The 24,150-nt window shown below is 42.2% G+C and overlaps 1 long non-coding RNA gene across 1 annotated transcript, besides 4 other annotated features; it reads right to left on the bottom strand.

Moving 5' to 3' along the window:
- Positions 1-9,064: 9,064 nt before the first annotated feature.
- LOC105378658 (uncharacterized) lies at positions 9,065-23,739 on the bottom strand. Its single transcript, XR_947211.3, has 3 exons — positions 23,528-23,739; positions 13,612-13,726; positions 9,065-9,265 (listed from the first exon to the last, which is right to left on the bottom strand). It is a non-coding gene; the product is annotated as an uncharacterized LOC105378658 (long non-coding RNA).
- Positions 11,020-11,662: an enhancer, noted in NCBI's record as "H3K4me1 hESC enhancer chr1:38995999-38996641 (GRCh37/hg19 assembly coordinates)". NCBI's record gives its function as "activates a minimal SCP1, AML or CMV promoter by ChIP-STARR-seq in naive and primed H9 embryonic stem cells {active_cell/tissue: H9 hESC(naive and primed)}" and the evidence as "EXISTENCE:reporter gene assay evidence [ECO:0000049][PMID:30033119]".
- Positions 14,339-14,458: an enhancer, noted in NCBI's record as "active region_796". NCBI's record gives its function as "activates an Ori minimal core promoter by ATAC-STARR-seq in GM12878 lymphoblastoid cells {active_cell/tissue: GM12878}" and the evidence as "EXISTENCE:reporter gene assay evidence [ECO:0000049][PMID:35858748]".
- Positions 14,339-14,595: a biological region, named in NCBI's record as "CRISPRi-validated cis-regulatory element chr1.5052". NCBI's record gives its function as "regulatory_interactions: MANEAL".
- Positions 14,392-14,595: a transcriptional cis regulatory region, noted in NCBI's record as "candidate enhancer chr1.5052 targeted for multiplex CRISPR interference". NCBI's record gives its function as "positively regulates MANEAL gene expression with high confidence in K562 cells {active_cell/tissue: K562}" and the evidence as "EXISTENCE:mutant phenotype evidence [ECO:0000015][PMID:30612741]".
- Positions 23,740-24,150: the final 411 nt, after the last annotated feature.

Here is a 24,150-nt window from a genome sequence, read left to right as displayed (position 1 = left end):
GTGCTATTATTCCTGTTCCTCAGACAAGGAAGCTGATGCTTCCAGAGGGGCTAAGGAACAGCTAAGTGGAGATCCAAATCTAAGTTGTCTAACTCCAAAGCTTGTGCTCCTAAGCGCCTTATTTGAGTTCTGCCTCTGAATTCCCATTCTCACTCTCACTCTCCCTTCCACTTCTTGACTCTAGGTTTGCGCTTTTAGGCCTCACGGTCCAAGTCTTCTCACTCTTTCCTGTGACAGCCCTTCAGAGTTTTGGAAACAGCAATCATGTCCCTCAACTGTGTGCTTTTCCATCCATAAGAGCCCCAGTTCAGATCCTTCTTTCTTCTTCCTTTGACACAGCTTCCAACCCTCTTCCACCAAACTTGCAGCCCGTCTCAGGGGCTGTAGCTGGTTGTGCCGTCCTTGAAGTATAGAGTCCCAAAATGAGCCTAGGCTCCAGTGACAGATGAGAGCAGGACCCTCACATCCCTGTTTAAGACACCAGGAAACATGTGTCAATATAGCCCAGGAGCATCTGAGAACCCCCACCTAGAATGCTGACTCATTCTCAGCTCCATGACCGTGAAAAATCTCTGCTGAGAATTTTCCCATTGGCTGTAGCTGCTAAGTCTCTCCTTCCCTGTCTTGTTCTTGAACAGTTTTTCTTTTTGAACCTGAGAGCTGGACCTGACAATCGTGTCTATTAAGAATCTTAAGCAATGACAGTCCCAGTATGGATTACACTCACAAATCAGAGCAAAGCTGTCCCAGACATCCTGTGTGGAAGTGATGGGGAGTTTTACCTTGGCCTTGGTTTGCAAAATCATCAGCTCTGTCAATCTCAAAAATCAGAAATGCAAAAGAAAAAGATGGACTTGGAAGTGGAAGAACTGGCATCTAGTCCCAGGTTTGAACCTGTTAAATTAGCTGGGTGACCTTTGGAAATATGCTTCACCTCGCATTAGCACATAGCATCATAAACAGCTTAAGTTTATCAATCTGGAGATGTACGGACCCTGAAGCCCAACTCCTGGATTTGAATCCTGGCTCTGGTACTAGTAAGCAGGGTGACCTTGGGCAGATTACATAATCTCTATTCAGCTCATCTACAAAGTTTATCCATCTACAAAGTAAGAATAATAATAGTACCTACTTTAAGGGTTATTTTGAGGATTTGCAAAATTAATACAGGCAAAGCACCAAGAATACTACCTGATACATTAGCAGAGCAGTATTGAATTATCGCTCACATTTGTTATTTACTTGAGTCTCACAATAATCGTGCAAGATAAAAGGAGAGCAAGAACGAACTTTGCTGTTTTCTGTTTTAATTTACTTATTTGTTTAAATTAACTAAATGTGTACGTAATTGGACATGTGACATAATAATTGGAGAACAGATAAGTCGAATTCTTGAGGTTTCACTTACAGAAACAAACAAAAGATTTAGAAGCGTACATGATTGTTTAGAGCCAGTTTCTTTTTTTTTTTTTTTAAATCCCTGCACACACACTCCTCTGGGACTACATAAAATTTGCTGGATGAAAGCAGTTCGGGGACAAAGGGGGAGTGCAACAGAGAAAAAGCAAAAGTGCTAAGTGACCTAGGGGTGGAAGGAACTTGGTGCCCTGCCCTTCGTCCCACACAGACTGAGTGCTAGGAGTGGTGGAGGTAACAACAATTTCAGATTGAGAGATTCAAGAACAGAGAGGATTCTTGCCTTGCTTCTGAGCAGAGCCTGGGAGGAGGCAAATCTTACAGAATTTTCCTGCATGAAGGGAGCAGTTGACTAGAAGTGGCGGCCCGGGGAGACAGGCGAGGGGGCCTGAGAGACCCTTGCGGAGATCTCCCTTGTCCAGTAGGGCATCGTGGAAGACACTGCAGGGAGCCAGTCCTGGAGGGGAGTGTGGTCTAGGCAAGGGTTGTGTAGCAGTGACCAGTGTGGGTAAAGCAGAGGACTCTTGCCCTCTCGTGGCTTAGTACTTTGTAAGCCCTGAGAGAACCTGGGAAAATGAGAGTGGAGACTCTGATTTGAATAAGATTTTCTGCCACAAAGAGGAAGAGCAGCTAGAAGCAGGAGTTAAACTCACAGGAAAAAGATAAAGAAAGTAACATTTCATAAATATCTGAGTATGTTAACCTGAATTTTTACTCCTAGTATTAACAGCATAAAAAATATTAGAAAATGCTGGCAAGTCAAAAAAAGAAAAAAATAATAATGTAAATTACCCATAATCCAACCACCCACGGACAGCCATTGCTAATATTTTGACATGCATGAGCACACACACACACACACACACACACACACACACACACACAGATCAGATACCTAGAAGGTCTAAATTCTGACTTATTTTACATTAACAATATTTCTGAGATTTAGATTTTTAACTTCAAAGGAATACAATGATGGAAAATTACATTAAAATGGAAGCTATGATATGTAGTATGTGGTAAGAAACCATAAAAGGTAAAAAAATTTAATGTAAATATGTCCTGTGAATCTATTGATGTATACATTACAAATGGCATCATATTGTATTTGTCAAAAATGTCGCTTTTTACCAGAAAATGGAAAAAAATAAACTTACATAAAACCTATCCATTCAGTGATGCAAACACAATATGGCATTTTCTTTATGAATTTTCACACTGAGAATTAGCAAAATATCTTAAAAGTATTATGTAATTATAAAAATGTATATTACATTTATATTTATCAGGAAATCTTTTCTGATCTATGGATGGAGTTATGACAAAAATCATTTGTCATTAGGATTTAGTGTAACAACTTTTGAGAAACTGCAGCTCTTTTGAAAAGCTTCAGAGCTAACACTCCTCACTCTTGCTGCACTTTTCCTTCCAGATTCCCTTTTGCTCTGGGCACCTGAAGCTCGTTCAGCAGGGTGGCGAGTGACCTTCCTCCCATGAGACAAGTGTCTCACAACATGACATGGCCTCTGATAGGGTCATTTCCCATCCTCTGTGGGGATCAGCCCCACCCTGTTCAGCAAGCCTGATACTTCCAGGCTACAGATCACACCAGCACGGGTTTCCACACACCGCAGTAACCTGTTCATTCATTATTACAGGAGTAGGTTTTTTTAAATTGTAAAAAACACTTTTAGAATAATGCTTTCTGTTTTTAGATGCTTCCAATTTTAAACAGAGATAAAATATTTTTTATCATTTATATATATAACATACATTAATATTATATATGTATAATGTACATTAACATTATATATTATATATTAATTATATTAATTAATTATATATTAATTAATTTATACATAATATTAATATTATATATGTATAACATACATTCACATTATATATATATATAAAACATACAATAAATACAGGTTGAGTGTCCCTTGTTGGAGATGCTTAGGACCAGAAAGGTTTCAGATTTCAGATTTTTTCAGATTTTGGAATATTTACATGTACATGAGATATCTTGGGTAGGGGACCTAAGTCTAAACACAAAATTCATTTATGTTTCATATACACCTTACACACATAGCCTGAAGGTAATTTTATGCAATATTTTTAATAATTTTGTGTATGAGACAATGCATTTTGACTATGACCCATCACATGAGATTGGGTGTGAAATTTTCCATTTGTGGCATCTCTCAGTGCTCAAACAGTTTCAGGTTTTAGAGTATTTCAAATTTTGTATTTTTGCATTGGGATACTCAACCTGTATATATTTGTTTTGCAACCTGCTTTTATAACTAAGCAGTATATCATTCATTTTTTATATATCTATATTGTCTTTTAAAGTAGCAGCATGGAACTTCATTATATGAGATGGCCACAATTTATTTTACCAATTCCCCTACTGTAAAATATTTTTATGTTTTCTAATTTTCATTATTACCAAAAAAATGCAATGAATATCTTCAAATACATAAGTTTTGCATACTATTTGTATTATTTCCTTAGATGAAATTTCAAGAGAAGTAGGTGATTCTAATGGTATGTATATTTTTATTTTTATTTTTTATTTTTTGAGATGGAGTTTCGCTCTTGTCACCCAGCCTGGAGTGCAGTGTTGCCATCTCGACTCACTGCGACTTACTCACTGTGACTTCCGCCTCCCAGGTTCAAGCAGTTCTCCTGCCTCAGCCTCCTAAGTAGCTGAGATTACAGGCACCCACCACCACGCCCGGCTAATTTCTGCACTTTTAGCAGAGACGGGGTTTCACCATTTTGGCCAAGCAGGTCTCCAACTGCTGACCTCAGGTGATCCGCCTGCCTTGGCCTCCCAAAGTGCTGGTATTATAGGCATGAGCCACCATGCCCCACCCCTGTATGCATATTTTTAAAATTGTTATACCTATTGCTAGATTGTCCCCCAGAGAAGTGGTACAGATTTACACCCAATCCAAAGGGCATGAGAGTGTGAGTTTTTATACATTCTCTCCAACTGTGAGTATTATCATTTCTTCTACTCCTTTCTCATATAACAGGGAAACATTGAGATATCACACTGTTGGAATACACTTTTATTTATTCATTTCTCTTTCTTCCAGTTCAAGAAATGCTCATGTCCTAGCTCATTTCTTTTCTATAGAGGTGCTCTTCTTTTTCTTATTAGTTTATACAAATTCATGGAGATATACTTCTTAATTGTCAAATGGGCAGCAAATATGTTTTGTAGTTTGTTGCATGTTCTTTAGTTACATTTATATTGTGTTTTGGAGAATTAAAATTCTTTTAAAGAATTTTATCAGCCAAATCTGTACATTTTTTCACTTATGAATTATCTGGCAGTTTTGTTGTATTTACTTGGCAAATAGATGAGAAGTTTAGGATGATGACTGTGAACTTCATAAATCTCAATCTCTCCCAAACACCTTATATATTAGTTAGGATGTTCTCATTTGCAAGTAAGTAAACTGACTTAAACATCAAAGAGGACACCTTGACTCACATAAATAAATTGAGAAGTAGGTCATGTAAGCTTCAGGCATTGTTTTCAGGGCTCTGCCTCTGTTTCTTAGCTCTGGTCTCCCCTCTGTACTCTTCTAAGAGCTGGCTCCGTCCTCAATCTGGCTTTCTAATTGGTTGCAAGATGGTGGCCAACAGCAACTGGGGCTTCGTGCTTACCACGCACATTTACAATGAAAGAAACAATAACCCTTCCTGCAATGATCAGAAGATAGGCCAGAGCTTCTCTCTGATTAGATTACTCCAGATCAACTCATGTGCATGTGTTCATGCCATATACTAACTGGCTTAAATCTGGTTTATGAACCAATCACCATGGAAGGGAATGACATATTCTAGATTCATTTAGACCAAGAACTCTCCCAGCCACATCACAGGCTATTTTACAATAGAGGATGGGTGGGCTGGATGTTGGGGTAGTAACTACAATATCCACTTAGCTGATTTCTACTCCCTGGGGTGGGAACTGGGTATGATTTTGTGGTTGAGAATAAAAGCTTTGGAGTCAGGCAAACCTAGGTTTAAATCCTAGTTTCACCCACTTTGACTTCAGTTACAAAAAGGGGTGTTAATATTGCCTTGATCCATTTTCTGCTGCTATAACAGAACACCAGAGACTGGATTATTTACAAAGAATATAATTTATTTGGTTCACAGTTCTGGTGGCTGAGAAGTCCAAGATTGAGGGGCCACATCTGCCTTCTTGCTGCACCATAACATGGCAGAAGGCATCATATGGCAAGAGAGCATGCTCGGGAGAGAAAAAGGGGCTGGACTCCTGAGATAACTGGCCCACTCCCTCGATAACGGCATTAGTCCATTCATGATGGCAAAGCCCTCATGACCTAATCTCTTAAAGGTCCTACCTCTGAACATCATAATAATGGCAATTACATTTCAACCTGAGTTTTGGAGGCGACATTCAAACCATAGCAAATGTCAGGCTCAATAGGAGGAGACAATGATGTTGTGTGTAGGAAGCCCTGAACACCATGTTTGACCCACAGCAAGAGCTTCAAAAGGGTCATTACCAACCTTTTGGTTCTTAGGTTGTTACCTATTTTAGGGCAGAGATTGTGTGCATCTTTGAGTCCTCAGAGCCCAGCCATGTGCCTGGCATGGTCTTTAGAAAATACGTGTTTGGCCGGGTGTGGTGGCTTCTGCCTGTAATCCCAGCACTTTAGGAGGCCGAGGCAGGTGGATCACTTGAGGTTAGGAGTTTGAGACCAGCCTGGCCTGGCCAACATGGTGAAGCCCTGTCTCTACTAAAAATACAAAGATTAGCCGGGTGTGGTGGTACACGCCTGTAATCCCAGCTACTCGGAAGACTGAAGCAGGAGACTCTCTTGAACCTGGAAAGTGGAGGTTGCAGTGAGCCGAGACTGCACCACTGCACTCCAGCCTGGGTGACAGAATGAGACTCCATTTGAAAAAAAAAACAAAGAAAAGAAAAGAAAGAAAATGTCTGTTTGATGAATGGGTCAGGAGCCACCACCCTGCTCTCAAACAGGAGGGTACCATTGACAAACAAACAACTTCTTTCCTCTCAGGTTATTTGGCCCTTGTACTGTTTCAGAATGGAGGGTCTTTCACAATTTTTGTCCTTGCAGCTTCTAGAAAAGACAGCTCCGGGCACAGGTAGAGAGCTGCACAGGCCATTGTAGCCTGACCTTGCGTTAGCTACTCATGCTAGTCCCAGGGGGCTGTGGCATTTAAGGTTACAGACCCGAGTCAGACTACCTGGGTTCAAATCTCAGATCTGTTGCTTCCTAGTTATGGGAATTTGGGCAAATCACTTCATCCCCTTGTGCCTCTGTTTTTCTAATATACTCCTAAAACCAGGGATAATAGGATTTATCTCATAGGGCTGAGAAAATTAATGAATGAAGATGTGTTAAACAGTTAAAATGATGCCTGGCATCTAGTGAGTGATACATATTTAAAAAAATTTTTAACTACTGAAATTGTTTTTGTAAGATTATCAGTCTTGAAATTGTCCTCCCCAGGAATGAAAATGCCTCTGATAACTAAGTCCTGTTTAGCAAAGAGGAGCTCTCTTACAGCCAGGCGCGGGAGACCAAGAGGGCTGACCCTCTTGGATAATTCCTTCTTGTTCAGATTTCCAAGATGAGGTATAAGTTGTAGGGCGTTAAGTCCCAATTTGCCACTCATACGCTGTGTAACTCAGACAATTTCTTTCTCCTCTTAGTGCCTCACTGGCCCCGTCATAAAGCAGTTGGTTAAAGCCAAGTTTTCTTACAGCCGACCAGCCTGCAAGACTGTGGCAGGACTTCCCATTTCCTCCAGGGAAATTGATGCTCTAACCCAGGCTGGGAGTGAGCCAAGTCCTAATGCGTGCCCTTTGAAGGCGCGCCCAGCTTCACCATTTCAGATGCAATATACTTATTGCTGGTCTGATTTTTATTGGGAAAAAGCAGCGGTGTACTCTCCAGGTCCCTGGGGTCTGAATTAAAATAAAGGAAGTACTTTAAAAAATCAAATCCAAATAGCAGGACTTGGAAGCATGCTGTTAAGCGAAGGCATCACAGACCTCGAAGCTGCTTCCATACCAAGTCCTGAGACAAAGGGCCTCGTGGTAATTGCATTTGGAGGTCCCAAAGGCATTGGTAATGGAGGCAAGATTGTCTCAGAGTCTCATCTGCATAGAGAAGCAGATAAATCACGAAAGCTACAACTTACTGAGTACCTACTAAGTGCCTGGTCCTAGGCCATGTTATAATCCAGTAAGATGAACACTATCTTCATTTTACAGATGAGGAAACTGAAGATCAGATTCAACCAACAATAAAACTCCACCTGTGGTTACACAAGTAAAAAGTGGCAGAGCTGAGACTGGACCCGAGGTTTTTCTTGCACCAAGATCTATATGCTTTCCATTAGGCCAGAATCTTTTGAACTGCTGACTGAGACTCAGTAGTGAGTCATGAAATCCGTTTAGTGAGTTGCAGCTAGTACTTTCAAAGATGACATAGATCTGATCGTGTGCCTTCAAAAGATAAAAAGTGAAATAGGCTAAAATGGAAAATATGACTGCATTACATAGGCAAGGATAACTAGCATTTAATGAAATATATATGTGTGTTTGTGTGTGTGTGTGTGTGTATGTTTATGTACACATGTGTATATACATATACACAACAATGACATGTATATTTTTATGTACTGGGTCATGATGTAAGCTATATTTCTTACTGCAGTCATAGTCAAAAAATATGAGAAAGCCATTGCTCTAGAATACATTGCTTCCCAGCTAGTAAGAACTAAGATTTACTAAGATTTTACTATGTGTTTGGAATCTTTTAAGTATATGAGCTGAATTAATCATTACAACACTATGAGATAGGCGCTATTAATATCATCCCTGTTTATAGATGAGAAGACTGAGGTTCAGAGAGATGAAATAACTTGCCCACGGTCAAAAAATTAATAGGCAGCAATGCCTGAATTGGAACCTAGATTGACTGGCTAGAGCAGCTGAACACTTAGCCTCTTTCTTAACATTTCTGCATGAGATGCCAGGGGAGAGGCCTCTATTTTTTTAATGTAATTTTATTTTTGAGATAGAGTCTTGCTCTGTCATCTAGGCTAGAATACAGTGAAATGATCTCTGCTCACTGCAACCTCCGCCTCCCGGGTTCCAGCGATTCTAATGCCTCAGCCTCCTGAATAGATGGGATTATAGGCACACACCACCGTGCCCGGATAATTTTTTTTGTATTTTTAGTACAGATGGGGTTTCACTATGTTGGCCAGGCTGGTCTCGAACTCGTGACCTCAGGTAATTTGCCCACCTCGGCCTCCCAAAGTGCTGGGATTACAGGCATGAACCACCGCACCCGGTTGCCAGGAGGACTCTTGATCACAAGAACCATATAGACAAGTCAACAGGTTGGAAAGAGCCAGATGCACATTGGGCGTGGTCAACTGTGGCCAGCAGGCTCTGAACCATCCTCAATTGCCTCAGTCTCCTACTTCCCTCTATTTTCATTAGCAAGACAGTTGTGAAGACCTCTGTCGAATCTGTAGCTTCAAATTTCTTTCATCCTCCAATATTTTAGATTAATTAACCTCCTAATTATTTAGACATTCATTCTCCAACTTGTGTGCAATTCAAATCTATTACACTTCAGGGAATGTGTCTATATCGTGTGTATTCTGCTGCGAACCCCACGTGGTCAGAAGAGAAGTGGAAGGGGGAGATTCGCAGAATCAATTTTTAAAAATTCCAATGTGTTTCTGAGGCATCTGAAGTGTTGATGAGATAGCTGGGGTTCTTGGGTGCTTGACTTTTAAATTCACATTTCTGAAAAGCAAGATACAAAATTGATTATACAGTATGATCTCAACTGTGTTAAAAATGTATACAGAAAGGATTGGAAGGAAGTGAACAGTGGTTGCCTCTGGGTGGTGGGGTGATGGGTGATTTCGATTTTCTCCATTTGGTTTTTTTTCCTCCCCAAATTTCCTGCAATTGATAAAAAGTGTGGCTTTAAAAAATTTGCTGTTAAATTTAATTCCAAGGTAGAATATGGGATTGTATATAATTTTAAGGAGTGAGAACAGTCTATAAGCCAAATGCATCAGGCCTTTGAAGCAATTAGAAAGTGTCAGAGCAGCTCACTAGTAGGGCCTGAGTTCCGAGTTACGTGGCATATTATGTGGTGTGGTGATCCTACTCACATGGTGACTTCCTACTCTTTTCCACTCACCTCACTCTGAGTTGGGGAGCAGCCAGATTGGAGCTCAGATTCTGCCATCCAACAGATAGTCTCACAGGTAGGGTTAGGATCAGCGGCTCCAAAGGAACACATTGCATAGTCTGACTTCCTACTAGACTGTACCATTGCTCTAGCGCTGATCTCTTGTTGTACTTATCTTTGTACCTCCTAAGGCCATGCATGGGACATGGCTCAGGGTAGGATAATAGGTGTTTGAGTAATAAATTTGCGTGTACATCTCATTCTATACTAATCACATATTTAATACAGCAAACCTAGAAGGTAGATAATATTATTATCTCTGTTTCATGAATGGGGAACTGAGGCAAAGATCATTTAAATGGCCTGCCCAAAATCACACAGCTAGTAAGCAACAGAACTGAGACTTGAATCCATGCAGTGCTGCTGTGCACTGCATTGCCTCTTGGACTTCATGACATTGCTGAAAGTCAAGGCCAGTCAAAGGAGACCTGGAAGGCCATTTCTCTCCCAGACCATCAATCACAGAGGACAAGAAATGTAAATTTTTGACATTACCTCCAAGTGAAAACTTTCACCCAGTCACAGAAATACATTGACAGGACTGAAAGAGGAGTATGTTTTCTTGGAATGTGGTCTGTTCTCTGTTATAGGACCATCACACCTGAAATGCACACTGAATCAATATGTTATTGTAATCTTGGAATTTTTTGTGAATATCACAATGACAATTATGCAATTATGTGATATATCAATTATGTGATATAATTGCATTATATCACATATGCATCAAAATCATTTGTTAAATATAAACATTTAAAATACACCAAAATTTTATAACTTTGACATTATGTATTTATTTTAACATACCAAAGCCTTAAAGATGGAAGTGATAGGAGTCTTTTGGGCTCTGGAGAGGCCTTGTTTAAATTAGCTCCTCTCCCAGATTCTCCTCTCTCCTGACATACCTAGTCTTCTTCACAATAACAAGGTGGACATTTCTAAGTTTATTCAACGTGTCACACTGGCCTTGATTATCTAGATGGCTAGACTATAAGGCCCAAGGGTGTAGGCTTTAGACCAGTCCTCCTGGGTTCAAATTCTACCACCGCCATTTGTTAGCTGTGAGAACCTGGGGAATTTAGTTTAACTTTGTGGGTCTCAGTATTCTTATCTGTAAAATGGAGATAATAGTATTTATCTCAATGAGTTTTTGTGAGGATTAAATGAACTATTGGCCATGAAGTGCTCAGAAGAGTGCCCTGTGTGTAGAAGTGCACAGTAATGTTAGCTGTTATTAGGATAGGCACGATGATGTCCTTGTCTCTATTGGAGTCTGTGCATTTTGAGAGCAAGTGTTGCATTTTATTCATCTCTCCCCAGAACTTCCCAAGAGTTGGGCCCAGAATAGGTGCTCCCCAAACACCTGTTAAATAAATGAATGAATGTCTTTGTAAATGTGGGCTGGCTGCATGTATTTGATAGAGTTTTGGTAAAGAGCCAAAGAAAAAAAAGTGATAAAATGCCCATGAAATGTAAAGTATGGAATGAATGTTCCTTTCTTCTTTTGCCCCACCCTTCTTCCAGACCTAGATCTCCATGATAAGTGTCCTCACTTAATTCATAGGCCTGCTCATGGACAGCACTGGCCAACTGGGTCCACCAGACGAGTGCTGAGCACCAAACAGGAAGGTGCTGACCAAGCACCATCAGGGAGGCAGGTGCTTACCACCCACCACCAGGCAGGCAGGAGCTGACCAAGCACCACCAGGCAGCAGGTGCTGACCAACCACCACCAGGCAGGCAGGTACTAACTAAGCACCACCAGGCAGCAGGAGCTGACAAAGCACCACCAGGCAGCAGGTGCTGACCAACCACTACCAGGCAGGCAGGTACTGACTAAGTACCACCAGGCAGGCGGGAGCTGACCAAGCACCATCAGGCAGGCAGGTACTGACTAAGCACCACAAGGCAGGCAGGTACTGACCAAGCACCACCAGGCAGGCAGGCACTGACCAAGCACCACCAGGCAGGCAGGAGCTGACCAAGCACCACCAGGCAGGCAGGAGCTGACCAAGAACCATCAGGCAGGCAGGTGCTGACCACCCACCACCAGGCAGGCAGGTGCTGACCACCCACCACCAGGCAGGCAGGAGCTGACCAAGCACCACCAGGCAGCAGGTGCTGACCAAGCACCACCAGGCAGGCCGGCGCTGACCAAGCACCACCAGGCAGGCAGGTGCTGACCACACACCACCAGCAGGCAGGTGCTGACCGAGCACCACCAGGCAGGCAGGTGCTGACCACCCACCACCAGGCAGGCAGGTACTGACCACTACCAAGTAGGCATGGGTACTGATGAGCCACTGCCAAGTAGGTTGGTACTGACCAACCACTGCCCGGTAGGTAGGTCCTAGCCAAGAAGTTATGTCCTGACCAATCACCATCAAGCAGACAAATGTTGACCAGCCACCATCAAGCAGGTAGATGCTGAGTAACCACTGCCAAGCAGGCAAGTGATGACCGGTCACCAGCTTGAGTGGGTTATTCTTACCAGTTGCCACCAGGTGGATGCTGACCAATGCTTCAGAATGAGGGCATCTAAAGCAGCAAGGCCCGGGCTCAGGCCTATCTGTGGTTTACTTGGTGCCTCCAGGGCCTACGTCCTATGTCCAGGAACTGAGTCACAGAGTCCTCCCTCAGCCCCGGGCTGGGCCAGCTGCAACTAAAGAGATGACCCTCAGGAAGGAGGAGTTGCTAAGGCAGCGGGAATTCTGGTGAGCAAGTTCTCAGGAGTTATTGCCCCACTTCATCTTCATTAATGGCCGTAATGCTGTCAAGCCTCATCCCTGGCACTCCCCCTCCCCACCGGTTTATGGCATCTTTGGCTGCCCCTGTCTTGTTGCAAAAGAATGAAGTTGGGAGAACCACGAAATCACCAGAGGCTTTGCTCTTCTTAGCACAAAACCATGTTCTGTGTGGAGGTGCAATTCCTGTTGGACTAGGGTTCTAATTAATTGTGTACTGGAGCCAGGGAAGGGGTCAGGGGAACATGGGTTGGGCTTTGACTTTGGTAATGAATTCCAGAAGTTCTTATTCGTTGTACCCTCTTGAATTATGTTTCTAACAATGTATCTTTGTGTTCTCTAACCTGGTCTTCCTTTCATTGTAGGGGCAATGTTAACAGCTCCATTTTCTTTGCCTTGGGAATGGTGCCAGGAGGGAGCTACAACAGGCTTGGAAAAGAAACCTGCAAGATCCCACAGGTTCTTAAACTTGGTTGGCTTGGAAGGGACTTGATGGCCCCTAGTGGGTTTGAAAAAGTCTGTTGCAATTTGTGACCTGTCCTCTGAGCTTTTCCCCCTCATTTTGTCCTCAGAGGTTTGTTTACTCGAATCTCAGAGAACGGTTTGAAATAATTTATTCCTCCAGTCACTGGTTCTGAGAACCTACTTCAAACTTGGAGTGGCCACTGTAGCTCCCAAGAATGAATAAGACAGATTGTCCCTGCTGTTCTGGAGGCTGTCAGCTAGAGGGAGAGATGACTGCAACACATTAATTCACTAATTCTAATAAACAGCTGGATAACAGTAGTGCAGAGCAGCACAGGAGTAAATAATCTTGAAGGAGAGCTACAGGTTGGGGAGACCGTGGAGAGAGGGATGCCTGTGAAATGGACTTTGAGAAGAGGAGAATTCCAGTAGGAAATAGAATGGAAGAAAAATTTACTGAATTTTTTAGAATGGGAAAAAGAACAATTACACATTATTCTCATCAGCAAAGGATGGTGTTTGACACTGTGATGGAGTGAGAAAATGAAGGCATGACCCCTACCTTTGAGGACAGGAGAAGGGAGAAAGGGACAATGGCATAGTATCTGGCCAGCCATGCTGGTTCTATAATCATGGCACAAAGGAAATATTTTGGGACTATGGAGAAGAGAGATGATCACCTGTCAAAAAATAGTTGGCACTTGGTTGTATTTTTCTTTTGAGTTTCTGCTTAGTTTGTGATTTCCTGGAAAATGCCATCTCCTTCCCTTTCCCAGCCTCCATGCCACCATCTTTCTACAAATGAATTGGAAGGCAGTTAGTCCATCTCCTGCTAATGATAACAGCTACCATGCATGTATGGACTAGCTATGGCACATGGTACCTTATTAAATTCTCAACGTTACCGTATTAGTTATCTATTGCTGCATAACAAATTATCCCCAAACTTAGTGGTTTCAAACAATAGCCACTTATTATCTCAAAGTTTCTGTGACTCAGGAATTTGCATGTAGCATAGCTGGATCCTCTGTCTCAGGGTCTCTCGTAAGCTGCAATCAAAGGGTTGCTTGTGCTATATCGTCTTAAGCCTCGACTTGGGGGAGGATCTGTTTCTGAGCTCCTTCATGGGGTTGTTGGGAGGATTCAGCTCCTTGTGGGCTGTTGGCTGGAGGCGGTGCTTAGTTCTTTGCCACATGGTCCTCTCCATTGGACAGCTCACAGCAAGGTAGCCTGTTCATCAGAGCAGCAGGGGGAAAGGGCCAAGAGGGAATGCAAGCAAGATATAAGTCATAGTCTTATGTCTGAGTCTTAGAAGCGGCGTCCCATCATATTTGCCATATTCTTTTCATCAGAGGTGAGTCACTAGGTCCAGCTCACACCCAAGTGGCAGAGATTATATAAGGGCATGAATTCCAGGATGGGAGCTAATTTAGAAGCTCACTACCACAATCACTCTCTAGAATAGGGGTTCTGTCCTTTTTAGAAAAGGAAACTGAAACCTTGCTGAGGTTCACACACCAAGTGGCAGAACCGGAATGTGAACCAGCGTTCCTCCAAAGCCCGCCTCTTTCCATGACATCAGCCTACCCCTGGTGGCTGGTTAAATTCTCTCAGGACAGACCAGATGAGGTGTCACCCCCAAGTCACCTGTTCAGGTGGCTTTCTTGACAGCTGCCCAGCCACACACTGAGGTTTACACTCAAGCCGGCATCACTTTTCTATTCTCCCTGATCCTGAAAGCATTTCTTTCCATTCCAGTTTTAGACAGCAGTGAGGTACAGGAGAGGCCAAATACATGATGTCCTCTGTGAAGCTCCTGTCCCGAAAGCCTCTCACCAACTTCCCAGGGTCTGGTTGAAAGCACTTGCGTGAGAACATGCACCTTGCAGTAATGTACTTTTTCCACAGATGATTAATCAGGAGCGTCCCCGTATGGTTTGGCACAGATGGAGGTGAAGGAGACAGCCAAATCGTAAATCCAAAGAAATGTATAGCTTCCTCATCCATCCCATTATTACATCAGGATGGCTGTGTTTCCCTTTACTGCTTGAAGATATTGAAGAAGTTTTGCATACTGACAGCCTCCAGAGAGGCTGAACCCACCAGGCAGTTTTTTTGGTTGAAAGTAACCAATGGGACATTGGTTTGGGGGAACTTAAGACTTTTGCCTCAGTTGATAGAAATTGCTTGTTAGAAGTTCCAAAAGAAACTGTTAAGGCACTTAATATTTGCTGCTTTAAATTGAAGTTCTTTTTTTTTTTCTTTTTTTCTGAGATGGAGTCTTGCTCTGTCACCCAGGCTGGAGTGCAGTGGTGCCATCTCAGCTCACTGCAACCTCCGCCTCCCGGGTTCAAGTGATTCTCTTGCCTCAGCCTCCCGAATAGATTACAGGCGTGTACCACCATGCCCAACTAATTTTTTTTTTTTAATTTTAGTAGAGACAGCGTTTCACCATGTTGGCCGGGCTGGTCTTGAACTCCTGACCTCAAGTAATCAGCCCGCCTTGGCCTCCCAAAGTGCTGGGATTACAGGCGCAAGCCACTGTGCCTGGCCTGAAGTTCTTTCTTATTTGCATTTTTTCCCTCTGTTTTGAAACTTCTCAAAGATTATTATCTTTATATCCACACATTTCCGACACATCTTGCCCATGGTAGGTGCCTAACAACTCTCTTTTCAGAGCATGTGTAACTATCTCTTTAATGAATTTAAACAGCCGTCTTTATATTCATTTTAGTTCAGTCTTTCATCTTTTCTTAAGTCTGGAGTGACAGAAAGCTCCCACACTCGTAGCAGTTCGTACCTACAGTGGTTCATTCGGTCTTTGTGGCCAGGAGGTGGTGTTGCATGAATTTGTTATTGCACGTTTAAGACTTTTATAATTACTGGAGGAATTTTCTGATGAGCCCATGGTAGTTTATTCTGATTCTGTGAAATTCAGCTCTACAGGGGACATCTGTTGTCTGTTCCTGGTCTTGTCCTGATTTCTGGGTCTGCCGTACACAGGACACTGACCCTCACTGTGCCATAGCTTCTTTTGATTTTTGTTAAAGGTAGAAAACAGTAAACCATCTCTGTCTTAAAAAGAGTGATGACAGACAAGTTTCTCAGTAAAAGGAACATTGGCCCAGGAACCAGACCTCTGCGTAAAACCTGCTTTATTTCTGATAGTGTCCCTTTTATGGGTGGTGGTAAAAACACAGACTTTGTCCTGCCACCTCCTCGCCACATTGCCTTGGTCTAGCAAGATACCTTCTGAGCCCAACCTTACCTGTTTCTATAATGACACTACTGTTATTATCCTGCTTACCTTACAGGGTCAATGTGGGAACCACAGGAAATAATGAATATAAGCCAGTCTACGATATGATGTTAAAGATTAATGATTGCAATAGCTATCTGTACCACACGGTTACTATGTGTTGGGAACTGTATTAAGTGCTTTATGTGAATTATCTAATTTAATCCTCATAACAATACTATGAAGTGGATAGGATATGCCCATTTTACAGATGAGGAAGCTGAGGCCTAGAAAGGTTAAGTGGCTTGCCTGAGGTTATGCAGCTAGGAAGTTGAGAAGCTAGAATTCAAACCCAGACAGCCTGACTCCCAAATCCATGAATTGTTTTATCTACACAAAGCTGCTGCACATTATAAGGTACTATATAAACATACAATTGTATTACCTTTCCTTCACCTTATACAAGTGTAAGGTGTTGCTATTTTATTTTTCACATTTAGCTACAGAGTACATTGAAATCTGTGGCCATTCACAATGTAAGAAGCACATAAGATTTTCAACACGGGTGCCCAAGACCATTCAATTGGGAAAGGACAGCCTTTCTTTTTTTTTTTTTTTTTTTTGAGACGGAGTCTTGCTCTGTCGCCCAGGCTGGAGTGCAGTGGTGCGATCTTGGCTCACTGCAACCTCTGTCTCTTGGGTTCAAGCGATTCTTCTGCCTCAACCTCCCAAGTAGCTGGGACTACAGGCAAGCACCATCACACCTGGCTCATTTTTGTATTTTTAGTAGAGATGAGGTTTCACCGTGTTGGCCAGGATGGTCTCGATCTCTTGACCCCGTGATCTGCCCGCCTCGGCCTCCCAAGGTGCTGGGATTACAAGCGTGAGCCACCGCACCCAGCCTGGGAAAGGACAATCTTTTAAATTAACCGTGCTGGGAAAACTAAATATTCACATAAAAAAGAATGAAGTTGGACCCCTACTTTATACCACATAAAAAGTTAACTCAAAGTGGGTCAAAGACCTAAACATAAGAATTAAAATAATAAAATTCATTGAAGAAACATAGAGGAAAACCTTCATGACATTGGATTTGATGATGATTTCTTGGATACGACACAAAAGGCACAGCATCAAAAGAAAAATTAGATAAACTGGACTTCATGAAAATTAAAAACCTTTATGCATCGGAGGACACTATCAAGAGAGTGAAAAAACAACCCACAGAATGGGAGACAATATTTGCAAATCATGTACCTGATAAGGGATTAATGTTCAGAATATGTAAACAACTCCGACAACTTAAAAACAAACAAGCAAAACAAAGAAACAAAAATTCAATAATGGACAGAGGGCTTACATAGACATTTCTCCAAAACAGATATACAGATGACCAAAATGTACGTGAAAAGATGCCAAACATCATGATTCATTAGCGAGATGCAAATCAAAAGCACAACAAGATGCCCCTTCACACTCATTAGGACGCTACTATCAAAAAAATGGAAAATAGCGAGTGTTGACGAGGATGTGGAGAGATTGGAATCCTGGTGCATTGCTTGTGGGAATGTAAAATGGTGCAGCCCATGTGGAAAGCAGAAGGAGGCTTCTCAAAAAGTGAAGCATAGAATTACTGTATGATCCAGCAATTCCACCTCTAGGTATATGCGCAAAAGAAATGAATGCAGGGACTTGCACAGATGCTTGCATTTCAGTGTTTACAGTGGCATTATTCACTATAGCCAAAAGGTAGAAGCAACCCAAATGTCCATCAACAGATGAATGGATAAACAAAATGTGACATATATATATATATGTTTGTGTATATATATGACATATATATATACAAACAATGGAATATTATTCTGCTTAGAAAAGAAATAACATTCTGATACATCGATACATGCTACAACATGGGCAAACCTTGGAAACATTACGCTAAGTGAAATAAGCCAGACACAAAGGACAAATATTGTATGATTCCACTTGGATGAGGTACTTAGAATAGGCAAATTCACAGAGAAAGAAAGTAGAATACGGATTACCAAAGGATGAGAGAAGACGGGAGTGGAAAGTTCTTATCTAATGGGTAGAGTTTCTGTTTTGAACGATAAAACATTCCTGGAAATGGATGGTGGTGACGGTTGCCCAACATTGTGAATGTGCTTAATGCCACTGAATTGTACGCTTAAAAATGGTTAAAATGGTGAAATTTATGTTATATGTATTTAACCACAACAGGAAAAAATGTTTACGCATGTAAGAAATCCTAACTTAGAATATTTAGGTCTTGTTAATCTGAATTGTTTCATTAAAAATAATTTTGATTACGTTTTTCACTATTTAAAAATAACATTTCATTGAAGAAAAAGTAGAAATGCAGACAAACCAAAAGGGGAAACATAAAACATTCATTATCCTAGAGATAGCTACATTTAAAACTTTAGTGTCCTTCCAGACTGTCTCTCTCCCTCTCCTGTTTCATTTTGCTCCTTCTCTTTTTTTCCCTTTTGATTCAGTTCTACAGCCTTCCGTTCTTCAGGAACGTTGAGGTCACCTTTTTCGTGTGTGTGAGTTCTCATCTATACCAGAGTTTAGTCTTACCCATCTAATGGGGGGAAACACTTTCTAAAACTAAGCGAAGTGATAAAACACTGAAAAGAAGCCAATAAATGTGTGATCAGAATGCTCAGATTCCTGCTGAGACCATTTGGAAGTTGCGTTGGAAGGGACAACTTTCGGCACGCTGCTCCCAGAAGCCTGAAGACGTGTGGCCAAAGAAATGATCTGCAGTGTTCAATTTAATCTGTATCAGAGAACAAATAACAATTTTGTTGTAGTTGCTATTAGTCCTTCATTCTAGCCTCTTTAATGAGTTATAGGGCAGGGGCAACAACTGCTTAGCTGCATTCTTGGTCTACATATGACTTATTTGTGGAAATTAGAGTCCCATGTCTGCTCAAACAAGAGTCTGCTGTCCCTCTACCTTCATCTCTCGTATTATGCATAATTATTATATATAACTATTATTTTAATTATTATCCAGCTAATCATAGAGTGCATTTCTATTATTCTTTATCTGTAATAATATAAAAAGTGAATTGAGGCCACGTGTGGTGGCTCACACTTGTAATCCCAGCACTTTGGGAGTCTGAGGTGGGAGGATAGCTTAAGCCCGGGAGTTCCAGGCTGGGCTGGGCAACATAGCAAGACCCCATTTAAAAAAAAAAAAAAGGCCAGATGCAGTGGCTCACATCTGTAATCTCAGCACTTTGGGAGGCCGAGGCAGGTGAATCAAGAGGTCAGGAGTTCAAGACCAGCCTGGCCAACATGGTGAAACCCCGTCTCTACTAAAAATACAAAAATTAGCCAGGCGTGGTGGCATATGCCTGTAATCCCATCTACTCGGGAGGCCGAGGCAGGAGAATTGCTTGAACCTGCAAGGTGGAGGTCGCAGTGAGCCGAGATCGTGCCACTGCACTCCAGCCTGGGCGACAGAGCAAGATTCCGTCTCAAAAAAAAAAAAAAAAAAAAAAGGTGAATTGACGGCTTCCTTTTCCTCAGGAGGGGGCGCTCTTCCTGCCCTTGAGCACGAGAGGTTCTGCCAAGGCAGGCTTTGGAAGGGCATCCCCTTCAGGAGCTTTGCCCACTGTGGTCCCAGTCTCTCCTGCTACCTGTGGTTGCTTGAAAGAAGGAAACATTACTGAAGCCGAGATTTGGCTTATAGGGTCAGAGAAGGACTGAAAGCAAGCCTGGTTTCTACGGGCAAGGTGGCTGTGGTGCCGGTTTGGCATTTCGCAGTATTCATCCCCTACAGGGCTGCCTGTCTCGCTTCTCAAAGACAGTTTCAAGCGTGAAGTAAGGACCCAACTCTGAATTTCTATTCTGATGACTTTAGGTCCTCTTGGGAAATTACATCCAGTAATTTCCATTTCCTTTTGGCTCTTTGGCTTTGTTCTATGCAGTTTTGTCTAGCTGTGCACCTGAGCCATGACGCCTACTTGGGCCGGCTTCCTTTGGCCTCTACTGCTCCTCCTAAGTCCTGCCCTGTGTGGGCCATGACAGGGCTGTTGGGTCTTCTGGGAGTCAGCACATCGTTCAGTAGATTTTCTCTTCTGGGGAACGTTTCAGATGGTCCTCCAGTTTATCTTGATCCTTTCCATTGTTCTGCTCAGCTCTTAAAGCTAGCATAATGCTTTCTCCAAATAAATCTTAAAGATCATTAATTAATTCACTCATTCAACAAATATGTATAAAGCACTTATATTCCAGGGCCTCTGTTAAGCACAGGACATATTTATGAATGAGAAAATCCCTATCCCTGAGTTCAGTTGAAATGAAGAAATAGGTAGATTCTCAGCTCTCTACACATAATTGCATAGTTCTTAATAGTTCTTAGACTATGAGTATAATCACAGATACTTAGGAACATAGAGCATATGTAATTATTATTCCTTTTCTCTCTTTCTCCTTTAGCTTCTGAGATAATCATGAACCTGCTTCTCTTTCTGGCTCTCTGACCAACCACTAAATGTTGGCATTAACCAGGATTCGGTCCCAGGTTCTTGCCTCTCATCATATCATATGGGTCTTTTTTTTTTTTTTTTTTTTTTTTTTTGAGACTTAGTCTTGCTCTGTCACTCAGGCTGGAGTGCAGTGGCGCGATCTCGGCTCACTGCAAGCTCTGCCTCCCGGGTTCACGCCATTCTCCTGCCTCAGCCTCCTGAGTAGCTGGGACTACAGGTGCCTGCCACCACGTCCGGCTAATTTTTTGTATTTTTAGTAGAGATGGGGTTTCACCGTGTTAGCCAGGATGGTCTTGATCTCCTGACCTCGTGATCCACCCACCTCGGCCTCCCAAAGTGCTGGGATTACAGGCTTTTATTTTTTCCTGCATGTGTTTTTTCTTCCTCGTGGACTTCAGTTACCACCAATTGCTGATGAATTCTCAGTTTATTTCTCTGTGTGGGACTTCTCTCCTGAGCTCTAAATGTTATTTCACTGCCTATTGAAAGTATGTCCCACCTCGGCCTCCAACTGAACATGTAAAAATCTTCATCCTTTTCTGAAACCTGCCATCTTGATCATCACCTTCCCAGTCCCAACCAGAAACCTGGAACTCTAGCAAGTGGTCTAGTAACCCCATTGCTTACATTACTTTTCCCCCACCCTCAACCCCCAATTGAGAAGTTGATTCTTAACTTTCTGCATATTTCACCTCCTCTCAAAATTCTCACCGCTACCTTCTCCCTCTTAGTCTAGGCCAGTGCCTTTTGAAGTGTTTTACTGGAGTCCTTTCAGGGGCTTCTGAGGTTGGAATGGAAAGAGGTGTTAAGCAGGCCGGATTATGGGCATCCTGTCCCTGACTCAACCAGAGCAACTTCACGTTTATCTGTTTTTGCATATTGTTTGAAGAGAATCCAGTGGCTAAACATTTGAAAATCATTGGTCTTAAATCCTTAGCATTTCTTTCCTGGATTTTTTGCAGGGCTCCAGCAAACCATACTTCTCTGTTCTTTCAACCGTGGAATCCAGTGGTTCTTAGCCTTTTCTTAGCTGGGATGCACAGGAAGGCTGATGTTCACATGCTGGGTGCACTTCCTGTTGTGTGTAAATTCCTAATGTACAATAAAACCATTAGAATGCAAGTGAATGAGTGTGGTGCTATTGTAAGCATAACCTTGAATCCACTCTAATGTATTAAAATAAGTACATCCTCTCTGGTCTTTTAACTATTATATGTGATAGAAGACTTGCAATACATCTCCCAGATCATCCCAACTCTGCTCTAACCCACTCTCATCCACACTTGTTGCTGCCTTCTACACGTGGGAATCTCAGTCACTCTCCTGCTTGACACACTTCAGTGCCTCCAGATTGGCTTTCAGATGGGTTTCAGCTCCTTAGCATGGCTGGCAAGTTCTGCATGATCTGGTCCTGGCTAACCTTCCCAGCTTCAGCTCTTGCCCCAATTCCCCATGTGCAAACCATAACTACCCAGGCTGGCCAGGCTTCTGGGCATTTGCTCATGCTGTTCCTTCTGCCCATCACTGCCCCCTCCCTTCTCCTCTCCCTTCAGCCTGCATCTTGAACTCCAAATGATTTTTTTAGGTGAAACAGTTTTATTTTTCCCAATAACTGCCACCAGCATTCTCCATCAATCCCTTCTTCCTTTCTTGCTGGGTAGCAAGGATAGTTAGTCACATCACAATCCAATAATTTTTTCAGTTCTATTTATTTCTTAAATGACTCGCTTCTGTCCTTACTCAGTCCTGATCTATTTTAGCTTTTCATTTCAGAAAAATTTCAAATGTGCAGGAAAATTGCAATAACAGTAAACCTTCCTGTACTCTTCAGATGCCTCCGCCAATTATTAATACTTTGCCACATTCACCTCTTTTTCTCCTTGTAACTTTACATATGTGTGTGGATGTGTTTTTATACACACACACATATGCACACACACACACATTCATATTGCTATTAATATTTGCTTAACCATTTGAGGGTAATTGTATACACCAGTACCCTTTACCCCTAAAGACTTCAGTAGGAGATCTCCTGGAACATTTTTTTTTACATATCCATGACACATGATCAAATTTGGGATATTTAACGTTGAAAACAATTTATTATCTAATAGAGAGTTCATGTTCATATCTTCAATTATCTGTATACTGTCCTTTATAGCAATTTTTTCTGACCAAGGAGCACCAATTTATTTATAAAGACCATCTCAAAACACTATTTGCTCCTTGAGGTTTTTTTTAAATTTCCCTTTTGCCTGTTGGCACTGACCACTCCCTCCTGCATTCACTTTACCGCTCCAGTCTTCCGTCAGTGTGTATAATATTTTATCATGTGTGTCTGTTTAGGTGTTTTAGTCTTCCTCACCAGACTGCAAACTCCTCGAGAACAGAGGCTGTATCTCATTAATCCTTGTCTCCCCAGTGTCTACTATACAAATGGATTCAGTATTAAGTATTTAATGACTAGCTTGGACGTTTGATACTCTCGGTCTACGGTGATGCTTTTCTTTTTGGTGATGTCTTCTCCTCAATCTTATTTAAGCATTTGTATGATTGTAAGTTGGGGGGATGGGGGAGCATACACTGGACTGAGCACCCTGATCCTAATCCCAATCCTGTTTCTGTCCAGCAAGATGGCCTGGGGTAAGTTATTTCATCTTCGTGAAATTCAACTGCTTCTTCCATATTGTGTAGTTAGCATTACTTGCTCTGCCTACCTCACTGAGGTGTTGGGAAAATCAAACAAGAGGAGTATTACAGTGTTTTGAAATGGTGATGTGATTTCTGAGACCATATGGTTGTCTGCCTGCTAGGTATGTTTTTAGTTACCGGTCTGTTTGGGATCTCCATGTTTCTGTATCTCACTCTGGGGCTCTCACTCTGTCTTCTGGGAGGCTGGAAGTGCTGGGTTTGGTGCATGAAGCACACAGACCAGCAGTTGGCTTAGGCTCCTCAAGCTGGGTTAGCAGTAGTGGGTTAAATAGTGTCCCTCCAAAATTCATGTCCACCTCCAACCTCAGAATGTGACCTTATTCAGAAACGGGGTCTTTGTAGATGTAATTTTAAGTTAATATGAGGTCATATTGGATTGGGGCCCTAAATTCAATGACTGGTGTCCTTATAAGGAAGCCATGTGAGCACACACAGGGATCAAGGCCAAGTGACCATGGCAGCAGGGACAGGAATGATGCAGCTACAAGCCAAGGAACACCAGAAATTGCCAGGAGCCACCAGCACCTGGGAACACACAAGGAAGTGTTCTTCCACAGAGCCCTCAGACAAAGCATGGCCTACTGCACCTTGATTTCAGATTTCTTCCAGAAATGAGAAGAATAAATTTCTGTTGCTTTAAGTCATCCAGGTGTTGGTAATTTGTTTTGGCAACCCTAGGAAATGAATATAGTGACTTTCTCCTTGCTACCTGCATGATGCCTGGTTTAGCAGAACCTTCC

The sequence above is a fragment of the Homo sapiens genome, chromosome 1, assembly GCF_000001405.40.
Source record: "Homo sapiens chromosome 1, GRCh38.p14 Primary Assembly".
Taxonomy (NCBI): Eukaryota; Metazoa; Chordata; class Mammalia; order Primates; family Hominidae; genus Homo; species Homo sapiens.
This window is presented reverse-complemented; position numbering and strand designations above follow the sequence as displayed.